This window comes from Homo sapiens, chromosome 1, assembly GCF_000001405.40.
Source record: "Homo sapiens chromosome 1, GRCh38.p14 Primary Assembly".
NCBI lineage: Eukaryota > Metazoa > Chordata > Mammalia > Primates > Hominidae > Homo > Homo sapiens.
The window spans coordinates 184,810,906-184,838,612 of NC_000001.11; the positions used below are offsets into that span (position 1 = coordinate 184,810,906).

At 40.8% G+C, this 27,707-nt stretch overlaps 1 protein-coding gene, 1 long non-coding RNA gene and 1 pseudogene across 9 annotated transcripts in view, besides 1 other annotated feature; 1 reads left to right on the top strand and 2 right to left on the bottom strand.

Moving 5' to 3' along the window:
* LOC107985238 (uncharacterized) lies at positions 1-25,980 on the top strand. Of its 3 annotated transcripts, XR_001738337.2 has the most exons (3): positions 1-77; positions 1,494-1,569; positions 4,339-4,835. It is a non-coding gene; the product is annotated as an uncharacterized LOC107985238 (long non-coding RNA). The 3 variants fall into 3 exon arrangements; XR_007066769.1 differs by lacking the exons at positions 1-77; positions 4,339-4,835 and adding an exon at positions 25,372-25,980 and having other exon boundaries at positions 1,372-1,569; XR_001738336.2 differs by lacking the exon at positions 1-77 and having other exon boundaries at positions 1,372-1,569.
* The window catches only part of NIBAN1 (niban apoptosis regulator 1), a 183,477-nt gene that overhangs the window by 19,874 nt on the left and 135,896 nt on the right, over positions 1-27,707 (bottom strand). For 4 of the 6 annotated variants that reach the window (XM_047444102.1, NM_052966.4, XM_047444094.1 and 1 more), the window contains exons 6-9: positions 20,942-21,057; positions 12,733-12,837; positions 12,262-12,424; positions 7,733-7,920 (exon numbers count right to left, since the gene is read on the bottom strand). In XM_047444102.1, coding sequence (XP_047300058.1) covers positions 7,733-7,920; positions 12,262-12,424; positions 12,733-12,837; positions 20,942-21,057 — 572 coding nt within the window. The remainder of the gene's footprint in view (positions 1-7,732; positions 7,921-12,261; positions 12,425-12,732; positions 12,838-20,941; positions 21,058-27,707) is intronic. The other 2 variants (XM_047444098.1, XM_047444091.1) reach the window with 1 other exon arrangement.
* RNU7-13P (RNA, U7 small nuclear 13 pseudogene) lies at positions 10,525-10,584 on the bottom strand (annotated as a pseudogene).
* Positions 14,737-14,937: a silencer, noted in NCBI's record as "peak504 fragment used in MPRA reporter construct". NCBI's record gives its function as "represses an SCP1 promoter by STARR-seq MPRAs in K562 erythroleukemia cells {active_cell/tissue: K562}" and the evidence as "EXISTENCE:reporter gene assay evidence [ECO:0000049][PMID:32103011]".

The window sequence follows — 27,707 nt, forward strand, 5'->3', positions numbered from 1 at the left end:
GAGCGCTGAGTGAACACACAAGGTACCTGCAGGTCCCACCTGTGTCCATTGATCTCTCAGAGCGGCTGGGGATCGCGGTAAGCTCCCTCTCGGAATTTGAAGCTCCATAGATTTGTGTTTTGAGCTCTCTGAGTTTCTTCGAGCAAGTTTCTGATCCAAACTGGGTTTGTAGTCATGACAGAAACTGGACTGGGTCCAGGAACAGATTTGATCCAGGAATTAACTGGCTTGGACCCAGTCAGAGGCCTCGTATATCTGACTGGGTCAGAAAGGAACTGGTAGTAAGCAGTAATATTGCAGGGGTTATAAAATTTGGCTTTTGAAAATTCACAGGGATTTCTGTGTTCTACCCCTTTTTTCATTTTTCTTGTGTGCTTAGGTAGGAAAAATCATTGGCTAAGTTAAGAGAACCTGGGAGTAAAGCCAATATTTTAGGTTAAAATGGGCTCCTTAATTTCTGGAAAACTGAGTTCCTTCTGGCTTATACATTAGGCCTGGGAGGCAGTGAAGTCTTACAGAAACAGCAAAATCTTACTGAAGATAATTTACAGTGGAATGTTCCGAAAGAACAACAATGCATTGAGGTACTTTCTTCCTTTTTTTTTTTGTTTTTTTTTTTGAGACGGAGTCTCACTCTGTCTCCCAACTAGAGTGCAGGCGCGATCTTGGCTCACTGAAAGTTCCACCTCCTGGGTTCATGCCATTCTCTTGCCTCAGCTGGGACTACAGGCACCCCGCCACCACGCCCGGCTAATTTTTGGTATTTTTAGTAGAGACAGGGTTTCACCATGTTAGCCAGGATGGTCTCGATTTCCCGACCTCACGATCCGCCCGCCTCGGCCTCCCAAAGTGCCAGGATTACAGGCCTGAGCCACTGCGCCCGGCTGCATTGAAGTACATTTTTAAAATGAGGGCTCTCAGTAAAGTCCCTTTTGGCTAGGAACGGTTTTGGCACTACAGGATGTCAACTGCTATTCCCTTTGGAATAATCTGACTTGCACTCTTTGCTGATGGCTGTGGGTGACAGGATTAGGCATGTACAGGATTGTGGGACATGGGGAGCTTTTTCCTCCCTCCCGGAAAAGGGAGAAACCTGAGAGCTGATGAGACTGCTGGAAAAGATCCTTTCGCTACTAACTAGTGGCCATCAGAACTTTTCAGTGTCGCTGAAATGAATGGGTCTTGCTCTGGCCTCCCTGAGCTCTTCACCTTATGCACCCTCCCACAGGCAATACTTTCCTTCATCTTATTTTCCTTTCCTATCTTTTCTGTTACTCAGGGCAACCATCTTGCCCAGAGACCACAAGTTGAAACTCCTAGTCGGAGGTTTGATTAAAGATGAGGAGGGCCATCTGAGGGCAAATTTAAGCTTTGCCAGTTTGATATTGGGTGCTAAGCAGAGTGGCTAATGTATATGTTTTATCATACATATTTTGCTCTAGCCAGAATGAAAAAAATAATAATTTTCCTTTATGACGTGGCTTGGCCCCCAGCAGGATGGTGCAGCAAGCTGGGTCACTAGAGCCACTCAGGGAAAGGGAGCCCAGAGCCTGGCATGCCGGCCAAAAGGTAAGAATTTCTTACCAGTCAGATTTCTGGCTTCTCTCTATATATAAAAACAGTCGAATGAATGGTAAAAATCACTGCTTATCTCCATCTTGTTTTATGTCCTTGGGAGCTTGACTTTGTAACCACATAGCAGTACTTTCTCTTGGTCTCTGCCTTCCAGGGAATGGAATTTTAGAGTTTATGTCATAGTTAGCTCTAAAAATTATCTTGAGTAGTTAAAGCCTTTGCAAACTCAAAGTTAACTACTCTAGATGCCTTCTGGGAAGGGCAGTAGAGATTGCTCCATGCTGTAGCTCAGTAGCTAAGGTTTTGCCCTTTCACACTGGTGGTCCAGGTGCAATTCCCTGCTTAGGAAGCAAGTTCTTTCTGGTTGAATATCTGCATGACCCTGTCTAGTCTCTTCTCCTCCATGGACTATCTTAAATTTTCCTTTCTCTGAGCATCTGGGAGATTACCTACTTTGGTAAAGTTCAAAAGCCAGAAACATCAGTCATTTGGCCTGGCTAAAATTGGTTAATAAGAAATTTTAAAAATACTTTATTAAAGAGTGCTATGATTAAAAGTCCACTTAATTAAAAGTGAATATCAAGCTCTAACAGTCTGGAGGCACCAGAGACCCCTTTCCTGGCCCTGTTCTTCCAAGGACTCCACCATAAAGCCAATAACCAATTAAGAAATTAAAAATCTAGCAAATGAAAAATCTTACAACTACTGTGTAATGTTCTTCTGTCTGTCTGTCTATGTAATTATATATGTGTTGTGTGTAATGTTTATATAAAAGAACTCTAATTGGCTTAAACAAAAATAAGCACTTACATCAAATATTTTGAAAGCAAAATAAAAACTATAATACCTTTTAGTTCATTAACTTCAGTAATTTTTGGGAAATGAAAACAGCTTTAAAAATTATTGTTAAAATAAAGACATTTTGTCTAAATTATGCAGGTCAGATAATAGGTTTGCTAACTGCTTTGACTTTTGAAAATTGTTCAATTTATTTTGGAGACATTAAATTCTAAATAAGGCCTGGGGATATATGGAATTAACCATGCCCCCTAGCTATATAAAGAAGGTTATAAAGAAAAGAGATTTTATATAAGAGAGGATGTTGTATGGTAAATTATTGTCCTAAAGTAAAATGACTGGTTGTTTAAAAAGAGGGATGTTTAAGCAAGTCAGAAAGTCTAAACATGTCGTACATGGTCTGTGTAAGTTGTGAAATAATTTATTAAAAGGAATTTATGCCAGAAATGTTGTATAATTTGAAGGTGCTTCATAAGCTGCCACTATGACTTTTCACTGTACAGCTTGCTGGCTTTACAGCTAGCTAAGGCCTGGGACACATGGAGTTCGATGCTGGAATAAGTCATACCTTATCTGCATTTCTATCTGGGTCCTAGGCTCCACACCTAGTACATAATTAAAATCCCTTACTCACCAAGGTTTTTACCAAAAGTAAAAGTTGCTATGAGTTAACACTGTAATATGTAATTGAGCCTACTGAAAAAAATAGGTTTACATGCAAGGTATGTAAGGAGAATTAAATGTATTTTTTGTAAGAGATTATAAGAACATATGGAAATGTAAATTTTTGCCTAGGTTAGAGGGTTAAAGGATTGTTTTAAATTATACAAAGCTAAAGGTTTGAACAGGTTGTGGAAGGTTTATAAAAAATTAACTGTAAGAGATTCTATGTGTGAATATATTGGCTAAATAAAATGGCATTATTGCTTTTTCCCTAAATTGGACATGGGAATAAAAGCATAACAAAGTTTTCTTGGAACATTGTTCTGTTCTGAGAAAAAAAATTCTAATGAGTTATAAAAGGTTTATAAAAATCTTACCTTATGGTCAAAGTAATTAAAACTGAATATATTTATGAAATATTAAAAACTAGCTTTAACATTAAAAATACACTAATGGAAACATAAAATTTGGTTTTCTCTTTTAAAAATGATTTTTATATAATATTAAAAGATAATGAAAGGTTTTTGTTTACCTTTTAAGTAAACTACAAAAGGGAAGGCAAGGAGACAGTCAGTTGGCCTCATGCTACATTCATTGGGTCTTATTTGGAAAGCTGTTCCCCTCTCCATCAGAGTCATGTTTCATCCTTTTAAAAATTTTTGTATCATCATTTTGGCTAAATGAATGACTTATGGTAACCTAAGATTCTATTTTGTAATATCCAATGTTTTAAACCTGTGGTATTTGACAAACCTTTCAAAACCAAGCTCTAGATTATCATGCTAAATCAGCCAATACTGAAATTGTTTAAATATACAATTTGAATGAACTCCATGGTCTAAGTCAAATTACCTATGATAAACCATTAGTTATCAGTGCTGTGCACCTAAATTGGAGAAACAACTGGTATTCAAGAGGACGTAAGTCCAGTGTTAAGCATGGACTCATGAAGAACTAGGACAGCCACCTTGTCCTTCCTGAATCCTTAAGCTTTTGTTATTAAAGGTTCTGCATTCCATGACTCATCATGGAAAAGATAAAATAATCCAAATTGAATATATTGATATGGTGACTTATAAATTGTGGAAACAGTTTAGAACCAATATTCACTTCCATATTCCTGGGGAAAAAATTAAAGCGTCAGGTACATTTGGCTATCTGATGGGCCATTTAAACATTTATAAAGGGATTTCATTCAATTGTCATTTTCAATGCATGTTTTCTAGTTGTATAAAAGCTTTCCCATGCAAGAGGGCTGATGTTATAACAGTAGATTATTATGCTACAATGTATTTTCCCCAGGTAAAGAAAGCTTTTTATGGTTCACTGAGGACAATCCCTTCATAATCTAGAACCTGAAGATTAGATCTTCTGAAAACATCAGAGAAAGACTGTCATTGCCCTCCACACTACAGCAAAACTTTGGAGACTTGAACTTTGGGTCCATAATCTCACAACTGAGAAGGGTTCCTTCACACTCCTGGAACTGTACACCCATTGGACCCCTTAAGCTAATCTAACCAGGACAGTTTCTCCCCAGAAGAAGATGACATCCTTGATGTGAACAGTTTTTCCCAAGATCATGGATCAAGACTTCTGCTATCACAAGACTCTGATCTTTGAATATTTTTTCCTTGTGTATGCCTCTATGAGCAGTATAAATGAAAAGGAGGTCTATTATGTGCACTTATAGGGTATAATTTTATTTGTGAAGGATTTTGCAGCCAGCCTTATACATGAATAGCCTTATACTTTAATAGATAAAAAATGAAGGCCCAGTGTAGGTGAGAAACTTTAGTGGTACACACGTTGCCTCATAATCAGTCAAAACTCTTCTTAATCCGCATCATGGATTAAAGAGAACACTGCCAGGAGGCCTTCACTCTTCTAGAAGGACATCATTTGTTAGGTCCTTTTTCCATGGTTTAGACTAAAAGGCAATAATTAGAAATGTCTCCCTCATAATAGGCCCTACAGTAAATTCTACTTTAAAGGCTGTCGTTACACAACATACTTTAAATTCTCTTGTGAAAGTTATGCTAAATAATAAAATTGGCTAAACAGAAAAGTACCTATGCAGCTGCTGACACTTGTGGCCTATGGAGAAATACATCATATGTAGATTATAAAAATCCAGCTGTAGGGGATTAATGAAAAGACCACTTAGTCAAGCGAGTAGACTCTTCATCTAGCTCATTCTTTAATCTATTTAATTTTAGGTGATTTGGTTTATGGGGACCCTGGGTAAGGAGCATACTCCAAACTCTTGATATTATCCTCCCAATAGTCATAATAATAGTCTTCCTGGTGTGCTGTATTCTCTCAAAGGTTTTAAATGTTTGCATGTAGCCATCTCTAGGATGTCAAATGGTCCCCCTTCAACTGAAATGACAAAAGCTGAAAGAAACATGTGACCATGAGGACTCCATAACCTATATGAATGACATGCTGAGACCAGAAACCCAAAATGATGGTAACTGAAAGTGGCACTAAGGCCCTAAGTTTTGGTCACACTCTCACCTAAGTGAAAACCTGGCCCAAGAGGGGGAATTATTTTTAAACAAAATTTTAAATGGGAGGCCATTATTTGGGACTAAGCTCATGCACTAGGCCCCAACAAACCAAACCAAGCTAAAATAGAGCCACTTATGCTAAATGTGACATAATCAAGCTAGGGCTTTAAGAAAACACATAGATCCTAGAACATACCAGGTTTTGTTTTTCTCCTGTAAATAGGATGTTCCAGCATAAGAAGGTACTCTCTACTCAGTCCTTATTCCCTCCTTGCAAAACCCACTGTTCTACTGTTTCCCAGTGGGTTTCAAAACCATATAAGTACATTTACAATAGTGCTAGTAACATCAATGACTAAGGTTTTGGTCATTTTCTCAAAATTGAGAAAATGACCAAAAGGGGGGAATTATTATTATTATTATTATTTTATTTTTATTATACTTTAAGTTCTAGGGTAAATGTGCACAACGTGCAGGTTTGTTACATAGGTATACATGTGCCATGTTGGTCTGCTGCATCCATCAAGTTGTCATTTACATTAGGTATTTCTCCTAATGCTATCCCTCCACCTGCCCCTCACCCTGCAACAGGACCCCATGTGTGATGTTCCCTGCCATGTCCACGTGTTCTCATTGTTCAATTCCCACCTATGAGTGAGAACATGCAGTGTTTGGTTTTCTGTCCTTGTGATAGTTGGCTGAAAATGATGGTTTCCAGCTTCATCCATGTCCCTGCAAAGGACATGAACTCATCCTTTTTTATGGCTGCATAGTATTCCATGGTGTACATGCCACATTTTCTTAATCCAGTCTATCATTGATGGACATTTGGGTTGGTTCCAAGTCTTTGCTATTGTGAATAGTGCCGCAATTAACATATGTGTGCATGTGTCTTTATAGTAGCATGATTTATAATCCTTTGGGTATATACCCAGTAATGGGATGGCTGGGTCAAATGGTATTTCTAGTTCTAGATCCCTGAGGAATCGCCACACTGTCTTCCACAATGGTTGAACAAGTTTACACTCCCGCCGACAGTGTAAAAGCATTCCTATTTCTTCACATCCTCTCCAGCATCTGTTGTTTCTTGACTTTTTAATGATTGCCATTCTAACTGGCATGAGGTGATATCTCACTGTGGTTTTGATTTGCATTTATCTGATGACCAGTGTTGATGAGCATTATTTCATGTGTCTGTTGGCTACATAAATGTCTTCTTTTGAGAAGTGGCTGTTCATATCCTTTGCAAAAAGGGGGGAATTGTTAATGCAAACTAACTATGGCCTAAGAAGGACTCCTTTCTTATATATATAAGTCCTTGTGGATGAACTGTAACCTAGCTTAATAGTCAGACAAAATTGAAAACCTAACTTAGTAGTATGCACCTATAACAATAGTTGAGTTTTGGCCAATCCCAGCGGCCATACTTCAACCACTCATAGACTGCTGAATGTTCAAACTGCGTTCAAATAAGGCAAATGCCGAGCTGTAACCAATTTCACTGTTTCTGTACCTCACTTCCAATTCCTGTATGTCACTTGATCTTTTTTGTCTATAAATTTGTTCTGACCGTGAGGCACCCCTGGAGTGTCTGTGAATCTGTTGTGATTCTAGGGGCTGCCCGATTCACAAATGGTTTGTTGCTCAATTAAACTCCTTTAGATTTAATTTGGCTGAAGTTTTTTTTTTAATCAAATTTCATATCATAAGTCTATATTTTTGAAAACAAACCAACAATGTTCTACAAATGAGGATATATACTTGTATGAATAAATAAAAACTATAGGAAAAATATATACCAAGCTATTTCTATTAGTTAATTCAAGGAGTTTGGAATGGGGGTAGCCTAGGAGTCTGGGGTGGACTAGGATTAGTGGGTATCAGTGATGGTGACTAAGTTTGCCTTTAATATATTTGAGTATGTTGCTTCACTTGTACACACAGGTTATTATTTTTCTAACTTGAAAACCATCAGTAAAACTATCAGATGGGTGGATGGATGAATAGACAGATGAATGGTGGGTCTGAATGAACGGAAGAAAGGCTGGATGAATGGAGGGAAGGGCAGAAGAATGGAAGGAAGGAAAGAAGGGAGGAAGGGAGGGAGAAATGGCAGATAAAGCCCCATGGAAAACACAGCCAGGCAGACCATTCACACCCAGCTCCTCAGCTTTGTATCCTACCTCCTTTAGCTGGACACTGTCTTTGGTGGTCTGGAAGTTCTGGCTGACTTCATTCACCTCTTTCTCAAAGAGTACACGTACTTCACTGAATCCCGAGCTCACTGGTCCCATGAGCTCCTCCAGGATGGATGCCAGGAATGGCTGCACACTCTCCAAGCAGCTTTTCTCCGCCGGCTGGGCCACCATCGCTGAGGTAGGAAATAGCCAAAAAACCGTGACATATGGCAAAACTGGGTTTGTGGGCACTGGAGCCAGACCAGAGCTGAATGGTGCCCCACGGAGCCATTTAACAGCCAAGGCAAGCTCAAGAGGCCATGACAGACTAGCACAATGAGCCTGGTGCCCATGGTCACAAGAAAGGAAAACCACTGGACCCTTTCAGAACTGGACCAAACCTATCCACTCCCCAAGCTTTCCTCTGCCCTGGGATAAAATGCATTTTTCTGCTTGGTCCCTCTGAACATGCAACTCTTCATATGAAGAAGAAAAGGCTGGTGATCCACCTATCTACTGTCAATCACTATCATTAAATATGCACAGTTTGTCTTCTAAAAACACAATTTATTGTTTTAATTCATTTCTCTAGGAGTTAATCACTCAGTATAATTCCATCCTCCTCTCCCCACCAAAATACTTTTTAAGAACTCCAGTACATTCTTTTCTTGGGCCAATGGAACCAAATTCCATTCAGTTTGCCACCCTACCTCCTGTCCCCATCCCTGATTAAAACAAGACAAAACAAAATCACAATAGGTTTTTCTGACCAAGATGACATGCTTAGTGACAAAAATGTAGAATACATTTTGATCACGAAGAAGAATGAAAAAATGCCACTATAATTCCACTCCCCAGAGGAAAGTACTCCTCTTTGATTTAGAAGAGGGAGAGCACAGTGAAGCTCCTGGTGCAGTCTGGGTAGGACATGGAAACCTGCATTGTTTTCAGAGCAGAGGTAACTCTCATGATCAGCTAGGAAGACGCAATGGAGTGAAGGAGGCCGGAGCTAGAAGAAGCCTGAGCTTGCTCCGTGGACTAGAAGGCTAGCCTTGTGGATTGAGGCAGGTCACAGAGCCTTGTCATAGAATCACAGAACTGAGAACAGAAGCACAAGTGGAGCTGGTATCCAATCTCTCCACTTTACAGATGAAAAAAATGAGGCCTGGAGATGTTTGATGACTGGACAAACATCAGACCCTAATTTTCAGGAGCAGGGCTAACATTCAAGTGTCTTTCTTAAGTTCTTCTTGGGAATTTGCTTACAGTGAGATGAATGGCCTCGTTCTTATTTCAACTGGCGGAAATATTTCACAGAGTTGTGCAGGACCAGATCATGGCCTCTTATTCTGATAATCCAAAATGACTAATATTATTAATATTACAAATCACTCAGAAATATTTGGGATGTAAAATATTACACAAGTCATAGAATTATTAAGAAAAAACCCTTTCAATTGTATGATCCAAATATGACACAATCTAAGAGTCTTCTAAAAATGACTTGCTTGACACTAAAGTGTAAAACTGTTTGTCAGGAGATAAATTAATTATTAGTTAATTAACTTTAAAGAGAGGAAGTATTTGAAAAGCATCTAATGGAAATTTCAGAACAATGCTGAACATGGGTAATATGCAATAAAGATCTAGCAGCAGATGGCAGATCTGGGTGGGGCCAAGATAGGCACAGGAGGGCCGTGGGAGGGTATATTCCTCTCTGCCCACTCTCCCTCTGTGCCTACTTACCACAATGTGCTTCCGCCCCCTCTCTGCACCTTTATTCAATGTTCCTTTACCTTGCCTTCCTTCCTCTACCTCTGCTCATAAACATCCTACTCCTCTCTTCAAGGCCCAGTTCAAATTTCACCCTAATGTCCTGGAACTCCCACACAGCTTCCTGAGCTGGGGTCTGCAGGTGTTTCCTTATGGGCTGGATAAGTTCCATGTCCCATTCGTGTATGCACTGCTATTTTTCAAGCATGCAGAGATGCCGCTGTGATGCATATGTGTTTGATACATTAATTCATAAGCCTTACTGAAGTGAAGGAAGGAGCTGAACAGAGCGATGATGCCTGAAAGGCGAGGGCCAGAGGGCCTGGGTTTGGAGCCCGACTCTACCACAACTAGCTCTGGAATCTCAGCAAGTTACCGAATTTCTGCCTCAGTATTATCATCTGTAAAATGGAGATCATAAAAGCAATTATGGTGAGGATTAAATGAGTTTACTATATTACAAGTGCTTACAACTCTGGAAGTGGCCCCTTGGAAGAACTCAGTAACTGTTAGCTCTTATTGTACCTGTTGGCATTATCGTTTTTTCCAGTCCCCCGACACTAGACCTGTGCTCTCATTATGAGGGGCCCACATAGCTTCTTGAGGTTGAAATGGGATCTATGCTCACATTGGGAACCACTGTGCTCTTTGTTCTACCGCTGGTAGGAAGATGTTTTTCCTTCTGTCTCAGCATCTGTGACATGCTTTGTATCCTCCTCTCCTTGTAAAATCACGTTGTCTTCTTTGAGTCATTCCAGCCATTGTACTCAGCAGAAGTAGAATAAATACTTATTGAATGAATAAATAATTGTGCAGCAGAACTAAAGCTCAGGGGCTTTACTCCCAAGAGTCATATGGGAGGAAATAGACAGATCACCATTTAATACTCCCCAGGTTTTTTTTTAGAAATACAAAGCCCTTTATTAATGCAGCCGAAAGCGCACTTCCTTGTTTTAAAGGTGGAGCACTGGATGCCTAGTTAAAATGTGTTTCTGATATTTCATTTTATTTATTTTTCATTTTTTGGGCTTTCCAGCAAAAACTGGAAAGCCTGCTAGACAAATTCTAAAAGAGCTGTAACACTGATATTCCATTTTAAAAAGACTTGATCATTACTTCCTTTTACGGCTTCTTTTAGGAAATAAATACTAATTCAGGGCAAAATCTTTTTCCATCATATGTGGATACACCGGAGCCACAGAGATTTAAGCAAAGGATGACAATTTAGTTTCAGCCATGAGAACGGCTACAGTTAGGCCCAACTTAGCTCCAGATAGCAGAAATTTTGGCACAGAAGTTGAGCACTGGTAGTTTTAAGTAGTACAAAGTATTTCAATATATAGTCAACTCTAGATTAGTTGTACTAATGGAGGAATAAGAGACACAGATAGTAGAAAACATCAAATACTCTGAGGTTAATGTAGAGCTGGCTTTGGAAAGGATGGCGTAAATAGACACCCAGAGATACACAGACACACACACCAGTGCTGGAGCTGTGCCTCCTCAAACCTCCTCTCAGCAGGACCTGTGCTAAGAACCCTGAAGCAAGCTGGGCTGCAGTGGAAAGGGGGCCTGAACTGCAGAGGCTAATCCACAAAGCCGACAGCCCCGAGACTCTAAGCCTCCTGAGCACAGGAATAGGGTGTTCCTCGGTCACTGCTAAAGCTCCATTGTCTCGCTTGGAAAGCACTTAGTCCACAGTTTCTAATGAATGAATGAGTGAGTGAGGGAATAATCTGAGAACTTTCTAGGAAGACTGTCAATAAACAATCACAGATGAGCCTGCAAGCTTCTCCTCTGAAGTGACACTAGGTCACTAGGTACGGGTGTGTTTGTTGGGTTGTAGAGGCCCCAGATAGAATGGAGAACCATAGAATTTCATTCTGTAGGATTCCTTAGAGGCCATCTAAGGTCTCTTGTATGGGAATAGGCAAACTGTTTTCTGTAAAGGACCAAATAGTAAATATTTGTGCCTTTGTGGTCCGTAAGGTCTCAGTTCCAACTATTCACTTCTGTTGTAGCACAAAAGCAGCCACAGACAATACATAAATGAATGTGCCTGGCTGTGTGCCAAGAAAACATTATTTACAAAAACAGGTGGTGGCCCAATATGGCTCAAGGGCTTCAGTTTGCCAATCCCACTCCTGTGGGTCCTCCTAATTTCAGAGGAGGACACTGAGCTAAACAGAAGGTGAGTGACCTCCCCAATTATGCATGGACTGCCTAATATTGGAGTTGGGGCTACAAACCTACATTTATTGGGTTTGTAGGGTGACTGGGTATGACTCCAAGCCAAAATTTTGGGCTTTCATGTTAGAGGAAAATCCATATATTAATTGATTTGAATATTTGCTGAGTCTGTATATGCCAGGCGTGACACCAGGCCCTGGGTGTACTTGAGTAAACCAGGGTGACATGGCTCTGCTCTTTGAGAGCTTACGGCAGAGAGGAGGTGGAGCAGAAGCCAGTCTAATTCAGTGTCAAGGGTGCTACAATGGGGGTTGGGGGTGCAGGCAGTATCAAATACACAGGCACTGCCAAAGGCAAGAAACAAACTTTCCTCTGCCTTGTGTCCATGAAGCTTCCACGGGAAGGCCCAGGCCCCTAATGGTACCTCCAGCATGTTCCTGTTGCAGCTGTGATCACCTCCTCCCAATTTCTTAAGTGTAATTATCCTCTGAAACCATGCATTCCTGCTATGTGGTGGATCCCTGCATGTACAGCTTATTTAATTAGTAAGAGCATGGATTATCTCTACTGACCTTTGATCTTTCCAATTAAATAGTTCTTTGAGTTCACAATCTGATCCATGTCAGAACGGATCGTTCCTTCCAGGCCCTTTGTCAGAGCTCTGCATTCCTCCTTCAAGGCACTTAATCCTTCTGAAACTTGATGCTGAACCAGGGTGTAGGCCTCCTCGAGGAGCTGCAACAAGGAATAACACATAAATCAGGGCTCTGTCACGTGTAAGCACTGATGGAGTCAAGTGGAGGGAGGAGCCTTCATCACAGGCCATCATAACAAACAGAACTGCACACACATTGTAATTTTTCTTTCAAAGTTGGAGTCTGTTTGGAACAGTCTTCTTGTAAGTGAGACTCAGCAGGTTCGAAGTAGGCATTTCTACACCCAGGGAAGGGAATATCAACAACAACAACAAATGCCCTAAAAGAAAAGGGAAGAGAATGTTCCCATTTTGAGTAGCTCAGTTGTAGAGCAAAACCATTGCTTACACCAAGCCACGTCCTCTTTCTGTCATTCTTCTTCCCCTTCATCTTAGGCAGCAGGTCTGTCTGAAGAGTGGGCAGGAGCTCCTCCATCACCAGGTTACTCAGGATCTGCGCAGCAGAAGACAGCCCAGAGTCGGTCAGTCGGTGATGGCTACATCTGAGCATCAGGCCAACTAAAAATGTCCTGATTGGCTGTCCCTGTCCCGGACCAGATGAACTCTGTAGTAGGTTAATAGTTTAACCTACTACAGAGGCCACAGAAATCTCAACTAAGACAATCTTAGAGGCTGAACATTCTTAAACATCCGCAAGGAACAGTAACATCTGCTGATATTCTCACCTTGTTGTTTTCCCAATGTAAATAACAAATTCCCCAAATTCGAACTTCACATATTCAAACTAGAAGAACTTAGGGCATACAGTAAAATGAAAGAGTTCAATAATGGATAAGGACATCTTCAGCAAAATTGTGAAGGAATTGCAAGGCTTGGTTTTGGTGGCTTGCATCTTAGTCTGTGTCCCCTGGGACTATCATTCCTCCTAAGCCCTTCATGATCAAGGTATCAAAGTATCTCCATGCTCTTCGTCCCCACTGTCCCCCAAGCCCCATTGTCATCCTCTTTAATGTTTAGTAAACGAAGGGAGGAGCAGTGTGAAGAAGTGAGAATGACGTCTAGACCGACCAGAGCCCAGGTACCACTGCATCCCACCATGCAGTGCCTTCATCCAGCACTGGAGAAAGTCTGAGGGGATGCTCCAAGAGATACAGCCACATTGAAGGATAAACCACAGAGAAGATCAGCAAGGTTGTCTGCTTGACCTGCTTCTCCACAGCCAGAACCCAAGCCCCAAAAGGCCCCTGCTAAGAAGGAAGAGAAGGTACGCAGAAGGAAAAAAGGGAAAGGCTGGCACTGGCAAAGAGGGAAATAATCCTGCAGAAAATGGAGATGCCAGAACAGACCAGGCACAGAAAGCTGACGATGCTGGAGATGCCAGGGGAAGTGTGTGCGTTTTTGATAACTGTGTACTTCTGGTAACCATACAATTGGAAATACTATTTTTTTTTAAATGGAGTTTTATAAAAATGTAGAATGTTGTCTTACTTTTCTTAAAGCTATGTTATTATTACACAGAACATTTCATTTTTTCGGGGGGAAGGGGCATATGTCACTAATAGAATGTCTCCGAAGCTGGATTAATGTGGGGAAACACCTTTTCTTCCAGTTTTGAGAAACTTCCTCTTGGCTCCCAGGAGGGGGATTCCTGGCATTGACACACATAGCTACCTTGGCACAAACACCTTATGGTGTGGGAAAACTAAAATTCATTATTTCTTCTTCTCCCTCTCTGCCTTTAGTATGGTCTCAACTTCCTTAAACCCAGAGACCTGTTGGGACCTGACACCTAAAATTAATTAGCAGTCAGGTGGCCATCTGGACCTTCCAGTGACCCCTATTGAGAGGGCAGCTCTCAAAACAACAGCAGTTCCTTTTTTAGATTGTGGATCTCCAGACTGATGATTCTGCCATTTTCATTTCATTTCCTGAAAGTCAAGATTGGCTCATGAAAAGTTGTTAAACAACATGCTACATGTGAAATGTCAACCCTCACTGCAATCGAGAGTCTAAGCAAATGAAGATTTCACTGGGTTTTATACAGCTGTCTGATTTTGGTTCATTGAAGAAGAGAGTTTGGAAGTTGTTGTATACTGTTAGCAATTGTCTGCTCATGGCCTGTCTAATATACGATGATTGCTTACAAAAAGCATCTTTAATAAGACTGGATACAGTTTGAAAAAGGAAAAAGAAGGCAATAACCAATATTTTGGAACAAACAAATATTTGGAACATTTATGGGAGGGTATGAGATAATTAATGGGACTGAAACAAAGAAAAAGGAAAAAATAAAAAAAGAATATGGGAGGGAGTGTCTAAATTTTTCAAGTGTTTTTAAAAAATGTGTTCCCACATCACTCCTAAAATTTTGCTTGGCTCAATTAAACTATTTCTTGTGAATCTGAGCAGTATTCTACACATCCACTCATGCTACTGGCCCTTCCTTCTTTACCCCTGCTCCTGAATTGCAGCAGCTTTGCTGTTCAGATTCACTTTCACCACGAGTCTTTCAAGGCCCACAGCTCAGCTTGCAATCATAGGCTGCACACTAAGATTTACAAAAGGGGAAGCACAGTTTTAGGAAGGGAAGCAGGCAGAAAAGTAGGGAATCACTTGAAACATCTGTTCTATGAGTTTGAAATAATATTTGTCCAAAATAACTGACCTCCTCCTTTCACTTCTCATAAAAATTCAAATTATGCTTTGGGAATTAAGGAAGATTTGCTCTGAGGTCACTGGTCACTAGTGGAAATGCCCGTGAGCTCATTTGATCTTGCCTTTAATCAGGGCTCTGTCGCAGCAAGGTGTAACGCTTTCACTGAAGCAAATAGAAACACTCTCAGGGTGGAGGTGGACGAGCTATCCAGTCCCACTGTGCCTGTGGGTTGCTGGCAGAGAAGGTGCTTAGCTCTGGGCAGCAAGTGGGGCTCCTGTCATCTGCCAAGTGGATCTGCCTGGCGTGACAAAAGTTATGATGGGGACAGAGTTTCCACTAGCCCTGGTAATTCACTGGTGGGGATGTTTTTGACCTTTCTTCAGCCTTCTCTGGGGGCAGTCAAGAGATGAATCACCATTTTCTGTGGTGTTTAAGAGTAACCTAACATGCACAAAACTCCATGGAAATTAGCAGGTCCAACAATTATTGAAAGTAATGGCAAGAACCGCAATTACTTTTGCACCAACCTAATAGATTCAGTGGGTAATTAATAATCCACCAGCCCACCCTGCTCAATGGGATAAGTTCTTGTTTGGAACACATCTGCCGAAAGTGTGGTATGGGAAGAGTGAGCCAAGAGGAAGAGAGACCAATGCCAGAATTTAAAATCAGTGGGTTGACATTATGAAACTCAAGGGTCATAAGAATTGTCCCAATTCATCCTTTTGCAGAGACTGGTCAGAATTTTAGCATAAGTGTGAAATGGGTTTGAAAATATGAAAATGCTATATATAAAGGCCAAAGAAAAATAATGTTCCATTTGGGTGGGCTTATAGTTTTGTTTAGTCTTTCCCACACAATGTTCCAAGAAATTTGGCTCTATGTTACAACTTAGGGAATTAAAGGAAATATGTCTGCGAGGAAAAAGAGAGGGTGGGAGTGGGTTACGAGTGGCGGGGGGGTGATATGGTTTGGCTGTGTCCCCACCTAAATCTCATCTTGAATTGTAGCTCCTATAATTCCCATGTGTTGTGTGGGGGACCTGGTGGGAGATAATTGAATCCTAGGGGCTGTTTCCCCCATACTGTTCTAGTGGTAGTGAATAAGTCTCACCAGATCTGATGATTTTATAAGGGGTTTCCCCTTTCATTTGGCTCTCATTCTCTCTTGTCTGCTGCCATGTAAGATGCGCCTTTCACCTTCCTCCATGATTGTGAGGCCTCACCAGTAACATGGAACTGAGAGTCCATTAAAACCCTTTTTCTTTATAAATTACCCAGTCTCGGTTATGTCTTTATCAGCAGCATGAAAACGGACTAATACAGTGGGGGAGTGGGGCTCAGGGAATAGCCACAGGGCAGCAGAGCCTGTGGGTGCTGAAGCTCAAGTGCATCGCATCCCAACCACCATCCTCATCCTCCGACTTTCAGCCCCACCCTGCCCTGATCGAGTGCTGCCTGTCACCTCCCCAGAGCCCACTCTGGCATTCCCTACCATGGTCTGCCTTCCACAAGCAGAGTCTTAAGGTCTTGGGCTTTTCTAGAGAAAGTAGCTAATCTAATAAATAAATTGTAATAATGAAGGAATTCCCTAGCCTCTTCCCCTCAGAACAGTATCCACTGAATTTTAACATAAGTGACCTAAAAATACTTCAGTTTTTTTTTTTTTTAATGGGGGGTGTTGGCAAGGGCAGTGTTTTGTATACTTAACTGCTAGGACTTGGAGATTTAAAAATTCTATCACTCCTACAAGAAACTAAGCATGTCACTAGGTTGATCAAAACCAACAAACCCGGGATCGCCCCTTGAAGGCCACACCACAGTGCTTCCTTTCAGATGCTGAGCTGTCAGGAAGGTGTGGGGTCCAGAGAGACCACCCTCCTTCCTGAAGCAGGCCCCGCAGTCTCACCAGGCTGCTGGTCCAGGCCCCTTGCATTACTGAGTGGCCGTGGGTGAAAAAATCCAGTCAAAAGGAGTCACACTTAAGATCTTTCAGCAAAAGACAACTCTGGAGCACGTGGACAAGGCCTAAAAATGCGGGTAGTTTTGTTTTTTGTTTTTTTTTTTTTTTTCCGTCTTGAAACTGTTCTGTGGGAATTATGAGCTGTTCTCTAGCCCATCTTGGTATTTTAAAAGCAAATAATAAATATATCACATAGCTAGAGATACTTTACAGTTGCAAAGCCCTTTCCCTCATGATCTCATTTGATATATTTATATTGACAAGTAGAAAATATGTTGATGTTTTTACTGGCATACAAATATTTTCACCTTAACAGTCTGCCAGGCAAGTTATTCTGAGATAGTTGCTTTGCCTGAGCACTTGCCTAAAATAACCATCGCTATGAGGGCCTTCCATTCTTGCTGTGTGAGTCATTACTATGAAGGTAATGGAGCAAGGCTGGAAGTCTGAATGCAGGCCCCTAGGGTAGAGGGGTTCAGGACAGGGTTAAGATTAAGGTCTTAGCAGACAGGAAGAAAAAATGCAAATAAACCCAGCACTTTAAACAAAAGATGTCATTTTCTCAAACTCAGTTATGCTATGCCATTTTCTTTAACCACTTGGTAGCTTCTCCGGGCCCCTGGCCTCTTTTTTCTATGAGTCTTAGGGTAGACACTGCTTTACTGTTATGCACCATGTCTTAGAGTCTGAGGGGAACTATAATCCTTACCTGGCCTCACACAGTAAGCTTTAGAGGCCATTTCCTTTTACCAGCTTCTCCAAGCCGGTTTAAAATGCATTTCTGTAACAGACTAGTTTTCTGACTTCAGCCAACTGCTCTGAATGTTCTTTCTCTTACCTGTAGGGTGCTGGACAAATAATCCTGAAATGCCCCTCCAGCATTCACATTTTATTAGTCTGTTATTTTACCAAAACACTTAAATTCTGAGAGAAGCAAAACCATTTTTTTTTTTTTTGAGACAGGGTCTCTCTGTTGCCCAGTGTAGTGGCACAATCACAGCTCACTGCATCCTTGACCTCATGGGCTCAAATGATCCTACTGTCTTGGTTTCCCAAATAGCTGGGACTACCTGCACATACCACTGTTCCCAGCTAATTTGTACAAAACTTTTTGAAGAGATAGGGTCTTGCTATGTTGCCCAGGCTAATCTCGAACTCCCGGATTCAAGCAGTCCTCCCAACTTGGCCTTCCAAAGTGCTAAGATTACAGGTATGAGCCACCACACCCAGCCCCTGTGAAACTTCTTAGTGGGACACTTGATACCTCCAGTGATTTCTGATCTCTTTTCTGCTTTTTTTGTTTTGTTTTGCTTTCCCACTTAAAATGTTTTTTATCCTGCAAAACTAGGAGCTTACTATGACCACTTGCACAAATGCTTTACAATCTCCATCTATATAGAGACCCATATACATATACCCCACACACATATGTGCCTTGTCTTCTGCATGTTTTCTATGTGTGTCTCGCCTCACCATGATGGCAAGGGACGAGTCATTTCTCTCTCTTCCAACTTACACCACTTAGCACATAATCAGCCTGAAGCCAAAACAAACTCAAACTCAACTCCCAGAAAGGATTTATTAAATACATATATTCTTTTTTTTTTTTTTTTTTTTGAGATGGAGTTTCATACTGTCACCTGGGCTGGAGTAGGGTGGCATGATCTTGGCTCACTGCAACCTCCGCCTCCCAGGTTTAAGCAATTCTCCTTGCCTCAGCCTCCCAAGCAGCTGGGATTACAGGACCGCCACCATGCCCAGCTAATTTTTTTCTATTTTTAGTAGAGACAGGGTTTCACTGTGTTGGCCAGGCTGGTCTCGAACTCCTGGTCTTGTGATCTGCCCGCCTTGGCCTCCCAAAGTGCTAAGATTACAAGCGTGAGCCACTGCGCCTGGCCTAAATATCTATTTTCAATGGCATCATGGAGGAATGTAAGTTCACATTAGTTTCCAAGTGAAAGAAAAAAGTGAAGCAAGTGGCATAGCTGAACTCAAGGAGCTATTAAAAAATAAATGTGTAACTTAGTATATTCCCATGGTTGGTGTTGGTCTTTCACTCGGCCAGGATCAGAAGCCATCATTGCCTTTGCATTTGTCCACTTAGCATGTAACTCTGAAACTATCAGCTCCACAGGGCCAGGACCATTCTGTCTTGTCCATCTCTGGGTCACTAGCCCCCAGCACATTGCCCGGCATAGAGTCAGTGCTCAGTAAATAGTAGTTGAATGAATGAGACTAGGCAAGTCACTTAGCTGTTATATGCTTCCCTCAGTTTTCTCATTTACAAAATTGAAATAACAATAACTGCCTTACCCATCTCATAAGATTGGCAAGACAAACACCATTAGGTTTCGAACATTGTCAAGTATCACACAAAAGCATTTGACTACTCATCTATCTATTAACTATGTTGGCTTACATGGCAGGCCAGCCAGTGTCAAGTGCTTCAGCCTCCCCTTCTGACACTTTTGTTTTTCTTAATGGCATAAGTACATAACTATTTAGTTCTCTCACACTTATGAATGGCTGTGCTTCCCCAAAATATCAGAAACCAAGACTTGTTTAAAATTCTGAAAGAAGCAAGTCTCAGGTTGGGAAATAGATGAGTTTAGAATCTACCAGACAGAAAAAAAAAGAGAGAGAGAGAAAGAGAAGATTCTGATGGTAAACACATGTTTTCATATGGTGAAACAATAAAGAAGAGCTCCCTCATGAGTTTTCAGCATTAGCTGTTTAATGACCACACAGAGGCAAGGCACCATTCAGCATCCTCCAAATATTGTTCTCTAATAATGAATTTCACTAGCTCCCAAAAGAGGTACCCTAGGAGATGTGGAAAAAAAAAATAGTGGGGCCAGGCGTGGTGGCTCATGCCTATAATCCCAGCACTTTGGGAGCCCGAGGCAGGGGGAATCACGAGGTCAGGAGTTTGAGACTAGCCTGGCCAACATGGTGAAACCCCATCTCTACTAAAAATACAAAAGTTAGCAGGAGTGGTGGCATGCATCTGTAGTCCCAGCTACTCGGGAGGCTGAGGCAGAAGAATCGCTTGAACTAAGGAGGCGGAGGTTGCAGTGAGCTGAGATTGCGCCACTGTACTCCAGCCTGGGCCACAGAGCGAGACTCCTCTCAAAAAAAAAAAAATAGCATTCTTAAATACCGTGTTACTTTATGTAAATATGCCCGTACCCAGCCTCCTCTTCTTGGGTGAAGCAGCCATGTGACTGGTGTCATCATGGAGGCTGGGGTCACATCACAAAGCAGTTTCCTTAGATTTATAATACTGTCCCTGGGACCAAGCCCACTGAAGTGCTTAGGCCATGATTGGCATCTAGTCAGGATCATGAGGAATTATAATGTACCACAGGGCACAGAAAACTAGAAAAGATAAATTAAATATATAGAAAACTGTCTAATGCTTTTTGAATTTGTTTTTTTCATTACTTCATTTACATATAATTCAATAAAGACAGCTGCGTACCAAATACTTCCCCAACTGCACTTCACTTGTCACGATGATGCAAGGTAAACATTATTATTCTTATTTTTTCCAGAGGAGTAATCTAAGACTAAAAGAGGTTAAATAAGTTGGCATGACTGAAGTCCAAGTTTGCGGACCCTAGCTAAAGCCCTGTCATGCACTTCGCACTATTCCTCGGTACTCACACTTGATTCTAGTCTGGAAGCACGAGGTCATTTGAAAGAGTAATTCTTTTCATAGAAAACAGTGGAGGCAGCTCTTTCCACTGTAGTTGTCATGTTTTTGGCTGCCCTATTTCATGCCCAGTCTGGTGGTCTTTGTAGTAGGTGCCCAGTAGTTTCCTGACCAATGCTTGCAGACATGAGAGAGATGGTCTTTGGAACCACATCTTCCATACTTGCAACTTTTCTGTTTGATTGTTTAATAAAATGACCCTGACTTCGTATCACCCAAATACCCAAACACAGAGAGAATCCAAAATTTTGAACCCCATATTACCTGGATTTCATCCCCAGTGATCATTTCCCAGGAACCATAGTGACCCTTCTCCTGTCGGAAGAATTGCACAGCTTCTAAAAAGGCTTGGGCTTCAAATGTCATCTGCTTCATGTAATCTAAAGAAAAGAAGAAAGGGCATTCAGCAAGATAAAACACTCTAGATTTCCCCATAGCTCTTCAAGTGTAATGGCTCAGAGACCTAGCATTATCTGAAAATGACAAGGCATGGGATTATAAGACACAGAGAAAGTTAAGCAAGTACTGAATTCAAAGTTAATTTGCAGGTGTACATCACACTACTTGTTCATCGTCCTAGCTGATGAATTCTATCAGTTACTGAGCATAGTGGTTAGGACTAGAAGGAGGCCCGTCTCCTTTACCCTCTCTTATACATGCTCCCCTATCCACCCACAGGCACCCAGCGCCTTTACGCTACCAGCTGTGACACCTTACTCAGAAAGGCCGTCCCTTAACAGTGCCTCTTGTGTTCAAAGTATCTCCTTCCAGTTTCCCAACAAAACAATTTCTCTGTGACTCGGTATCAGCTTTCAATACAATATGCATCAACACAACATGCCAATTTATGCAAATGAAGATAATAATTGCTAACACTTACAAAGCAGGATAATGTTCATCTAAGCACTTTACAGATTTCATTGAGACCTCACAAAAACCCTCGAGGAGAGTATAATTATCCTCATTTTACAGATGAGGAGACTGAGGCACAGAAAGATGAATTAATTGCCTAGATCATATAGCTAGTGAGTGGCACAGCCCAGGTGTGAAATGTAGTCTGACCTCAGAGCTTGCCTCTAACCATGATGCTATATTGTCTTACATACTAGTTTTACGGGTTTGCCCTTCTAAACATACTGGATTTTAAATGGTGTCATATCTGAGAGGTACTATCCTACCACAAGGAATGAATATCTAATGGTGGAACTTAAGGTGTATAGAGGGAGCTGGGCTGAACGGCCTTCTCAGAGTTCCATAAGTCATGCTAGGCATGCAGTGTCTTCATTTCCAGCACATAAAATTGGCTCTTGGGGGACACAATGATTACAAAATTATAGAAATCTTCATGAGGAAATGAACTTCAGAAATAATCTAATCAAATAATAAATAATCAAGCCTTAGAAAGGGGAAATAAAAGGGCAAAGTGAAGTGAGTGAAAAGGCCAAGTTCCCTGACTCTCCTCCTATAAGGCACAAAGCTCTCCTGCCAATAGCACATTTATAGGGCAACATTACATTGGTGATTTGGAGGCAGCTGATTTGGGGGGTGAGGAGGAACCATCACAGCTTTAGACAGTGGGATTATTCAGTAAGAGACTAAATAGTTGATATGGGGAACTAAGCAGAACTAAAAAAGGATCAATCTGCTCTCAAAGGTAACAATCAATTAATAGGTGGTAGATGACTCTTTTGAGATTGGCTTACTAGATCATAAACCTCAGGAACTGAGAAAAGAGAAAAGAATTCAAGGCTTAGCCTCTACAAGAGTTCAAGCAAAACTATTCACAGTGAGGATACCACGAAGTCCATTCGAAGCTGCATTTTAAAAAATGTGGAACAGTGGCCAGGCATGGTGGTGGCTCGCACCTGTAATTCCAACACTTTGGGAGGCCAAGGATGGAGGATCACTTGATGATAGGAGTTCAAGACGAGCCTGGGCAACATAGTGAGACCACATGTCTACAAAAAAAATTAGCTGAGCACGGTGGCACATGCCCATAGTCCCAGCCCCTCAGGAGGCTGAGGCAGGAGGATCACTTGAACCCAGGAGTTTGAGGCTGCAGTGAGCTATAACTGCACAATTGCACCCTATCCAGGGCAATAGAGTGAGACCCTGTCTCAAAAAAATAAATAGATAAATAAATAAAAAGAAAAGAAACGAATATGGAACAGTAACTGACATTTCCAATAGTAACATAGAGATTTGGTCAAAATCTAAATTAAATTTTGAAAAAAGAGCATGTTTCAAGAATCAAGGTTTTTTGAAAATTTTTTCTTTTTTTTTTTTTCGATTATACTTTAAGTTCTAGGGTACATGTGCACAATGTGCAGGTTTGTTACATAGGTATACATGTGCCATGCAGGTTTGCTGCACCCATTAACTCATTATTTACATTAGGTATTTCTCCTAATGTTATCCCTCCCCCTGCCCCCCACCCCACAACAGGCCCCAGTGTGTGATGTTCCCCACCCTGTGTGCAAGTGTTCTCATTGTTCAATTCCCACCTATGAGTGAGAACATGCAGTGTTTGGTTTTCTGTCCTTGTGATAGTTTGCTCAGAATGACAGTTTCCAGCTTCATCCATGTCCCTGCAAAGGACATGAACTCATCCTTTTTTATGGCTGCATAGTATTCCATGGTGTATATGTGCCACATTTTCTTAATCCAGTCTATCATTGGTGGACATTTGGGTGGGTTCCAAGTCTTTGCTATTGTGAATAGTGCCACAATAAACATATGTGTGCATGTGTCTTTACAGTAACATGATTTATAATCCTTTGGGTATATACCCAGTAATGGGATGGCTGGGTCAAATGGTATTCCTAGTTCTAGATCCTTGAGGAATCACCACAGTCTTCCATAATGGTTGAACTAGTTTACACTCCCACCAACAGTGTAAAAGCATCCCTATTTCTCCACATCCTCTCCAGCATCTGTTATTTCCTGACTTTTTAGTGATCGCCATTCTAACTGGTATGAGGTGGTATCTCACTGTGGTTGTGATTTGTGTTTCTCTGATGACCAGTGATGATGAGCATTTTTTCATGTGTCTGTTGGCTGCATAAATGTCTTCTCTTGAGAAGTGTCTGTTCATGTCCTTTGCCCACTTTTTGATGGGGTTGTTTTTTTTCTTGTAAATTTATTTAAGTTCTTTGTAGATTCTGGATATTAGCCCTTTGCCAGATGGGTAGATTGCAAAAATTTTCTCCCATTCTGTAGGTTGCCTGTTCACTCTGATGGTAGTTTCTTTTCCTGTGCAGAAGCTCTTTAGTTTAATTAGGTCCCATTTGTCTATTTTGGCTTTTGTTGCCATTGCTTTTGGTGTTTCAGTCATGAAGTCTTTGTCCTGAATAGTATTGCCTAGGTTTTCTTCCAGGGTTTTTATGGTTTTAGGTCAAACATTTAAGTCTTTAATCCATCTTGAATTAATTTTTCTATAAGGTGTAAGGAGGGGATCCAGTTTCAGCTTTCTACATATGGCTAGCCAGTTTTCCCAGCACCATTTATTAAATAGGGAATCTTTTCCCCATTTCTTGTTTTTGTCAGGTTTGTCAAAGATCAGATGGTTGTAGATGTGTGGTGTTAGTTCTGAGGCCTCTGTTCTGTTCCATTGAGCTGTATCTCTGTTTTGGTACCAGTACCATGCTGTTTTGATTACTGTACCCTTGTAGTATAGTTTGAAGTCAGGTAGCGTGACGCCTCCAGCTTTGTTCTTTTTGCTTAGGATTGTCTTGGCAATGTGGGCTCGTTTTTGGTTCCATATGAACTTTAAAGTAGTTTTTTTCCAATTCTGTGAAGAAAGTTATTGGTAGCTTGATGGAGATGGCATTGAATCTATAAATTACCTTGGGCAGTAGGCCATTTTCATGATATTCTTTCTTTCTATCTGTGAGCATGGAATGTTCTTCCATTTGTTTGTGTCCTCTTTTATTTCACTGAGCAGTGGTTTGTAGTTCTCCTTAAAGAGGTCCTTCACATCCCTTGTAAGTTGGATTCCTAGGCATTTTATTCTCTTTGTAGCAATTGTGAATGGGAGTTCACTCACGATTTGGCTCTCTGTTTGTCTGTTATTGGTGTATAGGAATGCTTGTGATTTTTGCACATTGATTTTGTATCCTGAGACTTTGCTGAAGTTGCTTATCAGCTTAAGGAGATTTGGGGCTGAGACAATGGGGTTTTCTAAATATACAATCATGTCATCTGCAAACAGGGACAATTTGACTTCCTCTTTTCCTAATTGAATACCTTTTATTTCTTTCTTTTGCCTGACTGCCCTGGGCAGAACTTCCAACACTATGTTGAATGGGAGTGGTGAGAGAGGGCATCCCTGTCTTGTGCCCGTTTTCAAAGGGAATGCTTCCAGTTTTTGCCCATTCAGTATGATATTGGCTGTGGGTTTGTCATAAATAGCTCTTATTATTTTGAGATATGAAGAATCAAGTTTTTAAATCGAAGTATTTTTTCCTCATTATTTTTCTTGGCTTGGCAAGTGATTTAATGTTTAATCTTAGAGGTTTGAAAAACAAAAATTAAAGTCTTGCTATAAAATTGACAATACCATTGGCAGCGTTCTCTCCACAAGGGGATTGTGATATGGGGCTTAGTACACTGGGAGGGACTTTACCAACTGAGATGGAAACTGTAATTATTACATTGGGATTCAAGATTGACTCATGTGCTCTTATTTTTAACAGCTGTTTTCATTTTCAACCTAAGAAAACAAAGAGATGGAAGAAAATATGGTACTGTGTCTGGATGCAGTGAGTATGGCCAGATCTGCAAGCCAGGGAATGAAGTTTTAAATTCTTCACATCCTTATAAGAAGCATAAATTTACATATTTCCTCCTCTACTGACCTCAGTAACTGCAGGAGACACTTGAAATCTTGTCCATTACCTTCTGTATCTATATCAAAGCAAACAATGACACTCCCACTGATGGCTGTGTTTCAAAGATCTTTGGAAAAAGTAACTGAAGAAATGGGATTTGGAGATGTGGATGTCAGACAGAAGTCAAAGAAGGAACCAGAAGGAGAGCTCCAATGTAATAGTGGTGGAAGTGAAGCATCTTAATACAGAAGAGAAGAAAAGTATTAATAATCAAATGAGCCACAAGAGAAATTATAGTCATCCAACAACGAAGCCTCAGAGAATGAGGGCCTGGATCTGAATTCTGGACTCTACCATTCAGGCAGACTTAAACTAGATTTTAAATACTTCCTTTCCATAAAGGAAAAAAGATCTAATCTACTGATTCATCATTGTATTTTCAGCTAATAAACTGTTAAATTAATATATGTAAAACTTTTAGAACAAATCTGCTACATTGTAAGTTGCTTTATATACATTTGTTCTTAAGATTATAAGCACAGGTCAATAGCAACTGACAGATCATTAAGCAAATAAACGACAAAGGTTTGCTTTGTAAAAGATAACACTGTGCTGCAATGGTAATATAAAAGCTTCATTTATTCTAAGTTGTTTGAGAAGGCATTGCTGAGCTCAGTCAGAATGTACAGGTGTTCAAGAGAAACCAGATTAGCAGTTATTTTATGAACTTCCTGCCACAGATCTCATGGGAACAAATTCCAGGTTCACAATCACCTACTCTCCTGCCAATAAGCAAATTGAGAGTTTCGTTCTGTGGCCCTCAGAATCAAAATGGTTTTTGGCTTTTAAGCAGTCTCCTGGCAAGCCAACTTAGAAACAAATGGCAGCTATCAGCCCAAACTCTACTCTTCCAGCGTGCTATAATTATGAGAAGGCCTAGGGAGACAGAGTGCTGGGGAGTAACTTAGACATCACTACATTCAGCTCTCTCATTTAATGGATGAGGAAACTGGAACAAGAAATGGTTAATTTCCTAGCTGAAGGTCACACAGCTGGTCAGTAGCAGAGCCAAAAGTTGAAAAAGTGGCTCTGGCATGTTGTAAGTGGCCCTGGCATTCATGCTAACTTAAATAATAGACTATGAGAGTTGGAAGTGATCTTAAAGGTCACCTACCCCAAGCTCTCATTCAATGTTGGGATCCTTCAGAATCCCAGACAGACACTGGTTTGGCCCCGGCTTGATTATTTCCAGTGACAGGAAGCTCACAATTTAATGAAAATAGTTCTTTCCATCACTGAACTGCTCCAAATTTTCCTTCTATTGAGCCAAAGTCTGTTTCCATGGACTCTCTCTCCCATTAATCTCATTTCTCCCTTTCAGAACAAAATAGACAAGTTTACTCTTCTTCCATATGGTAACCCGAGAAAAAAACAGTAATCAGCTGAATATCCTTATTTCTCTTCAACTGTTCTTTAAACAGCGTATCTTTTGAATCTTTTTAATTTGACCTTCCCTTTTCCTTCTTTCCCTCAGTGATCCATTCAAATTTATCTATATCTTCCTTAAACTTGACCTCTACAACTGAATACAATAGACTAGGTATTGTCCGACTGGTGCAAATTATACCAAGTCAAAGGATACTTTCTTTTTCTGATCTCTAACCTCTTTTTTAATACAACCACGTCACACTGTTGACTCCTGTCTTTCTAGAGTTATAAATCCTTATACCTTTTTCATATAAAACTCTTGCCAATATAAGCCTCTCCTAGCCTGTATTTCTGCTTTTGACTTCGAAGGACAGATTTTTAACATTATCTCTATTACATTACAACTTACTGTGCTCGGCCCAGAGCCCCGAACCTGCTGAAATCATTTAAAAACTGTGATTCTGTCCCCTGAGTCTCTTATACCACAGTATCATCTGAAAACCTGGTAAGTTTGCCTTCTATGTTTCTGGCCAACTCAACGATACAAAAACATTCACCAGATCAGGAGTGAGGAAAGAGCCCTGAGAAACGATAAGCATTTGGGGAGATAGAGGGGAGACACATTTTGGCCATTCATTCAACAATCACATCCTCACGACCAAGAACTGTGTAGGAATGCACTATTCTCTTTAGTCTCTCTCTACTTCCTCATTCATGCAGCTGCATGGAAAACTCATATTTGGTAGACATGATTAAGGATTCTGCAAGGAAAG